Source organism: Homo sapiens, chromosome 5 (assembly GCF_000001405.40).
Source record: "Homo sapiens chromosome 5, GRCh38.p14 Primary Assembly".
Taxonomy (NCBI): Eukaryota; Metazoa; Chordata; class Mammalia; order Primates; family Hominidae; genus Homo; species Homo sapiens.
In genome coordinates, this window is record NC_000005.10 from 6,337,582 (window position 1) to 6,344,936 (window position 7,355).

General features: G+C 45.0%; 1 annotated feature.

Annotated features, from left to right (window-relative positions):
• Positions 5,465-5,965: an enhancer, noted in NCBI's record as "H3K4me1 hESC enhancer chr5:6343159-6343659 (GRCh37/hg19 assembly coordinates)". NCBI's record gives its function as "activates a minimal SCP1, AML or CMV promoter by ChIP-STARR-seq in naive H9 embryonic stem cells {active_cell/tissue: H9 hESC(naive)}" and the evidence as "EXISTENCE:reporter gene assay evidence [ECO:0000049][PMID:30033119]".

The following is a 7,355-nucleotide window of genomic DNA, read 5'->3' on the forward strand; positions in this document are numbered from 1 at the left end:
ACACTATGGGAAGCCGAGGCAGGTGGATCACTTGATGTCAGGAATTCGAGACCAGCCTGGCCAATATGGTGAAACCCCGTCTCTACTAAAAATACAAAAATAAGCCAGGCATGGTGGTGCACGCCTGTAATCCCAGCTACTCAGGAGGCTGAGGCAAGGAGAATCACTTGAACCAGGGAGGCGGAGGTTGCAGTGAGCGGAGATCATGCCATTGAACTCCAGCCTGGGCAACAGAGTGAGACTCCATCTCAAAAAAAAAAAAAAAAGAAATGCACAAAATAAATATTACAAAGGGCCTGAGTGATGCTGAAATCCAGCTCTGCGTTCACACTTGAGTTGGGGGATGGCAGGTTCCCCAGCACCGTGTGCTCCCAGGTTCCCAGCAAATGTGAGCTCACTCTCCCTGGAGCCCTTGCCCTGGGTCCTGATCACCAGCCCCCTCTGGTTGATCTTCCCTCAGGTAGGAAGTAGCCCTGAGGAGGGGGAGCACAGAGGAGTTGTGGGCAGGGGTGCAGAAGGAGAAAATATGTTGAGGACAACAGCATCAGAGGCCAAAGGCAGACTCTGGCTGCTGGTCTGCACAGACCACCATCTATGGGTTGCAGAATCTGGGTGGACACGTAAGGAGAGGAGGGAAAAGAGAGAGAAAAAAAAAACTGTCACAGGCAAGCACAAAGAGTAGCTGCCCTCAATTAGGGCTAGTAAAGAATTGTTCCCACTGCACGGGGTTTTCCAACTGCAATCTTTGGGCTTGTGAAGCATTTTCTCTGCATCTGTTGTTGATGCCATTAAGTAGAATGAGTCACTGTATATATTAAGCACTAAGACCAGCAGCGACATAAGTCTATGAATTCAATGATCATGCCAGCTTTAAGTAGAAAAGGAGCTTTTTTTTTTTTATTAAACCAGTGGCAAAGCAGAGGAAATCAAGTAATTTTTACATTATAAGATTTTTGCTTTTTTTTATACTGTGTCTATTTCCTTTTAATGACAGTTATCAAAAGTCACTTTTGGGAAAAGGCTTTGAAATTGAATAGAAAAATCTCATGCATTTACTTTTCCTGTTTTTCTGAAATTCAAATAAGATGTGAGCGACAGGCGCTGAGTGCTCCAGCCCCCATGCTCAGCAATCGCAAGCTTTCTTCAGACCTCTCTTTGCAAGCTCGGGAGGAGACCAGAGAGGTTCCTTAGGAGGATCCCTGGCTGGAATCTAGGCCAGGAAGCCAACAGCAAAATGTGTTTGGGGTGAGCATCTGTGTTTGGGGCCTTCTGGCATGGTAACACTCTGACCTGGGGTGTTCGACATCACTTGTGCTCTCAGCACAGCTTCCAGAACAAGCCAATGGCCCCAACAAAGGACAAAGGGTCCAGAACCATGTGACCAGAAAAGGAAGACAGCCAGGTGTATTTGACAGCTCCCAGAATGACCTGGCCAGACACTCAGAAGGCCACGGAAGCTTCGCTCAGGCATGCTGCCAGTGTGTGTTTATGTCCCAAACCCTCACACAGCATTTGCTACCTGACTGGCCTTTGGCAAAGGGCTTTAGAGATGTTCCCCCAAGTCCCACATGGCACAGAGGGCAGGTGCGCATGCTGTGACAATTTCACAGGTGAGGAAAGGGAGGCCCAGGGAGCTTACAGAGCTCATGAGAGGTGCAGCCAGGATGTGAGCCCAGCCAGCTGGCCCCACAGCCTGTGCCCATGTGTGACAGGTGCCCCTCTGCCCCTTTCGTGGGGTCACATTGCCTAGTTGCATCAGAAACTTAACCCAACCTTACAGCTTGGTGTGTGGGTGGGCAGTGGAGGGTGGTGCAGGCGGCATCTCCTTACCTCTGATGCAGCATCCACCAGAAAAGCTGCAGAGAGTGTGGAAGGCAGAACAGTACTTCCAAAAAAAAACTAAAAACATCCAAGTCCTGATCTCCAGACCTGTGCCTATGTTAGGTAACGTGGCAAGGCGACACTGAGGTTGCAGATGGAATCAGCAGGCCTTGAAAGAGGGCACTTGTCCTGGATGGTCTTCATGTCCTCAGTGTAATCACAAAACTCCTCAAAAGTGAAAAGAGGGTCAGGGTCAGAGGAAGATATGACTATGGAGAAAGGCACAGAGAAACGCACACTGCCAGCTCTGAAGACAGAAGGGTCCACAAGCCACTAGCCGAGGAAAGCAGGAGCCTCTAGAAGCTGGGAAAGGCAAGGACCAGATATTCCCCTGGAGCTACAGAAGGGACCCGCCCTATCGACACCTCCACTTTAACCCAGGGGGACAGTGCCGGGCTTCCAACCTCAGGACTGTAAAACAATAAAATTGTGAGCCGGTGTGGTGGTTCATGCCTGTAATCCCAGCACTTTGGGAGGCCAAGGCAGGTGGATTACTTGAGTTCAGGGGTCTGAAACCAGCCTGTGCAACACAGTGAAACCCTTGTCTCTACAAAAAGTACAAAAATCAGACGTGTGTGGTGGCGTATGCCTGTGGTCCCGGCTACTCAAGGGGCTGAGGTGGGAGGATTGCTTGAGCCCAGGAAGTAGAGGCTGTAATAAGCCAAGATATCACTACTACACTCCAGCCTGCGCAACAGAGCAAGACCCTGTCTAAAAAAAATAAATAAATGAATAAATTTTTAAAAATAAAATTGTATTGTTAAGCTGCTAGTAAGTGGATCAGTCAGTATTCAAGCCAGGTGGTGTTAAGCATTGTGTCCCTGGGATGAGTCATCATTCATAATCATTGATGAAAGTTTTAAATGTTAAGTATAACTTGGAATGATTCTACTGTATTGTTAATAACTTACAGTTATCATGAATCACTAGGCCAAAATATGCTATTGTTAGGAGAAAAAATTTCACCTCTACCACTTGGGTCCCATGCTTGGGGGCCTGCAAATTAACTGAAGATAGATTAACAGGAGAAAAGGCAAGGTTTATTTACATGTGCACGTGGGAGTTGCTCAGCCATAAGTAACTTGCAGAATAATGTGAAGGTTTATATGAGGGGACAGTGCATGTCCTTGCACCTTCACTTTGGACTTGACCACATGATTTGTTCCAAGCAATGGGATGCACATAAAGTGACAGTGTGCCAGATACAAGCAGAGGCTTTAAAAGGCATCATTTGCTTCTGCTGTCCTTCCTGACTTCTACCTTGCACCCTGAGGAAAGCATGCCCCAGGGTGTAACTTCTCTGCCAGCCTGGGTCCTGGGTGAGAAGAAGGGTGGCCCAAAGGAGTCCAGCCAAGAGGAGCAGCTTAGAAGCTGCAGCCAGCCTCAGACCCCAGAGTGAGAAACAAACATTTGCAGTTGCAAGCTACAGAGATGTCTGGACTACCTGTTACTGCGGCAGAAGCTAACTACCACAAGAACACGTAGATTTTTGGCCTAAGCAACAGTGAGGATGATGGTGCAACTTGCTAATTTGAGTTGCAGCAAGTGGGGTGGGAAGGGGGAAATTAAGATTTCATTTTAGAATACACTTAGCAAATAGCAACACCTCCCATGCTATGAAGGATAAGATACAAGACACAACTTTCATACTCCTTGCATTTGGAGAATAATACAATTATTTGTATTTGGAATTTAATATCCCAAATAAACATTCATATCCTTTACACTCAACCTGTTCATTGTCAAACATTTTGTTCCCTGAAATTGCTTAATTCACATTTATTCAAAAAGAAAGTGCATTTGGAGTTAAAACTAGTTTTACCCAAGAGGGTCTAAAGAGCTTAAAAATAGAAATGGGATTATGCCAGGATGAAACCCATTAACAACTCAGCTGAGTGAGGTCAGTGGGGGAGTGAGCCTAGGAGCTCCAAGTAGGGAAGAGAGCCCCCATCATCATACCCGGATCATCAGGAGAAATGACATCCACATGGATGGCACACTCTAAAGACAGCCAAGGGAAACTTTGCCAAAAAAGCAGAAGATTTTTTTTTCTTTTTCATCAAGATAATGCCACTTTAACCAAGAAAAGGAACAGATTTTGTTTGAAAACCCTAACTGGATATTTGGTTATTAATAATGTTATATCATATTAATACTTTTATATCATTTTCATTCACCATCTACCATATTTCCCATGTAATGATATAATCTTCATAACTAGAATTTTAATGGCTGCCCAATGAATAGCTATATCATAATGTTGGGGGTTTTTTGTTTGTTTGTTTTGTTTTGTTTTTTCAGATGGAGTCTCACTCTTTCACCCCAGCTGGAGTGCAGTGGCACAGTCTTGACTCACTGCAACCTCCACTCCTGAGGTTCAAGCAATTCCCCTTCCTCAGCCACTTAAGTAGCTGGGATTACAGGCACCCACCACCAAGCCCAACTAATTTTTGTATTTTTAGTAGAGACGGGTTTCATCATGTTGGCCAGGCTGGTCTCGAACTCCTGACCTCGTTGTCCATTCACCTCTGCCTCCCAAAGTGCTGAGATTACAGGCGTGAGCCACTGCACCTGGCCGTGTATTTTTAATTTATCTTATTTTGTAACTTAGCTTTTTCTACCAAAAAATAGGCATTCATGAAAAGTTGTTAAATATACATTAAGTGAGGAAAGCAAGACATGCTGGATAATATCCTTTGCATTATGTCATTAGCCCATTTATATGCTGGAGGTTGCAAATTTTTTTGTGAAAAATCAGACCACAGCGATGACCTTGAGCAGTAGGATACAAATAACTCCCACAAGCTTAGCATTCCAATAATGGAACACTAGCCATAAATGGGTTAAGATTACAGACAATACATTTTGTGTATGAATATACTTATATTCATTCTGGACAGATTAATGTTAAATTATAAGCGAGGTGAGTCTATAGAAATTATTATTTTAGTTACTAATTTCTACATCATTTATTTATGATGAGCATGTAGTTATTCTGTAATTTAAAAACAACAAAAACAAGATATTTACCAATAAGTAATAGAAGAAATGATTCATTCCAGAAAGGCTTGAGGAAAAGATCTTGACGCTAAAGTACTGTAGCTAAAACATATTGAAATAGGGCTGGAAGAGAGTGGCATCATTAGCGAGGCTTTCAGTCCACACACAATGAAGAACCCAGCCCCAGCTTACATCTTCCAGTCCGGCAGAGCTCCTGACAGCTTAACACATACTTCAGAATGTTTATTATACTTTAATATGGATACTGTATTCATATTTTATGTTCTTCTATTGTTTCTAAGTATAGCCTGGATAAACAAGTCACAGAGTAGACACATAAAAGCACACAGCTAAATTCACATTTTCTCTTAATGTTAGAAACCACAGATGCATTAAAAAGGATCATTAGGGACAGAGGTGCACTTTGATGTTTTGATCTAACCCGTTTTCACATTCAAAGGATGCTTCGAGTGTTATTCAGAAGTACATAATTGTGCTGAGAGCAAAAAGCACTTAGTGTCAGCTGAACACTCGCTCAAAGGCTCAGTTGGCAATACACGAGGATGTGTTGGAGGATGCATTGACTTGGGCCCTTCTGAGCTCCGTGGAGAGCTGGTGGGAGACAGCTACGGGGCGCCGGCACTGGTGAGGTCCAGACGGGTGCCTCCTGCGTTCTGCGCCAGGCATGGCGAGGGGCATCTCCTTGCCACCTCCTCTTTGTTTGCCTCCACCTCTTGCCCCTCCCCACCACCCCATTTCCATTCCTTCACAGGAAAAGCTAGAGGCACAGAGATGTGTTTAGTCCTGTGGTGGATGAACTCATCTCAGAACGCCAGCTGCACCATCTTCACGCAAGGGTTTACAATTCTATCCACTTTCACAGTGCCTTTGGTATTTGAGCTTGGATGAAACCAAAAGGTCACCAAAAGCTTCAGGAGGAACTGCTGAATTTCACTGATGGCTGAGTCAAAAATCTCCAAATTTAGCCCGGCTGATCTCCCTCTCCAAATGCTGATTCACGAGGCTTCGATGCTTGATGCTTCCAACACGGCTGGCTAGCAGGGGAAGTTTGAACACAGTCTGAAACCTTGCAAGCTTCTGCCTCATTTCAAGGCCTGAGTATATCCGAGTTTCCCCTGAATAATTAAATGGAGTGCTCAGACTGGCATGGGGCCGTGGCTCTATTTATTCTGATGGAATCTCCAAGACCAGGTCACATTCAAGATAGCGCACTGTCAGTGTGTGCCTGCCAGGCCGCCTAGCCCTGAGGCTCTGCAGTTTTCTTTTAGCTTTACAGTCTCTCATAGATTGAGGCAGTTTTGTGAATCGCTGCTTAAAAAAGAAATCCCGTTTAAGGTTGATTCAAAAAATGGATCTTCTATTTGGTGCCTTAACACTTGAAGTCAATACAGGTTGAGCATCCCTAATCCAAAAATTTGAAATCCAAAATGTTCTCAAATCAGAACCTTTTTGAGTGGGGACGTGATGTCTACAGAGCTCATGACACAGGTGTCTTTGGAAGCCCTGCCATGACTGTCAGCCCCACCACAGTCATCAGGGGCTCTCTCAGTGAAACATGGATGCTGGAGCCACACCCAGGGGCCGTCGCCTTGGGTGTTTGCAGGCAGCAGAAGCCAGCAGCCAGGGGAGAGTCACTGCACTGGGGCACGGGGTCTGTGGTGACGTCACCACTCCTAGCCATCAGTACTTTGTGGGTTTGGGCCCTGTAGGGTCCACTTCTGGGTTCCAGGAGGTGGGCAGGTCCACCAAGAAAGCAGGGAATGGATGTTGGCACCACAGTTTGCAACCTCGTTGGAAATAAAAAGCTCCAAAGAATCAATTAGAGAAAAACTCAGCATAAAATGAATGCTAAAAGTTGGAATTAAGAGAATTAGCAAGTGAGACAAGACAAAAAACAGGAGGTTGATTACGCAACAAGAACCAGCTCTGTGAAGATCTTGGCCTCATTCAATAACAGAAAGAAAAACTACGGCACGGGGAAGCCACTTGGTTTTCCCAGAATCCAACAATGACTGGGCTTCTGGGCCAACCCCAGAACACAAAGCTCCTGACTCAGGCGCCCTGTGACCCACTCAACGTGAAAGGGAACCCTCCGGCTGTTGTCTGGATAATTGCTTTTTCAAAAACGCCCACTGGATAAATCCAGATAATTAAGCCCCCCAAAAAGTGTGCTTTTCTTCGTGAATTATCGACATAATTGCCTTAGTTTTCACTTGGTTTTGCATATGCACTATAGCCTCACCTCTCCTTTGCATGGTCAGCATGAAGCAAGTTGATAATCTGCATTCCACACATATTGAGCTACTATCATATGTATGAGGCAGCATGATTGGTGTGATGAGGAATTGTAAACAAAAGTCCTAAGTAATAAGCACAGGCAAGTGGCCTGCCTTCAGAAGCTCACAGTCTGCTCCACACATATTCTTAGGAGAAGGAAACTCATAAGATAAAGC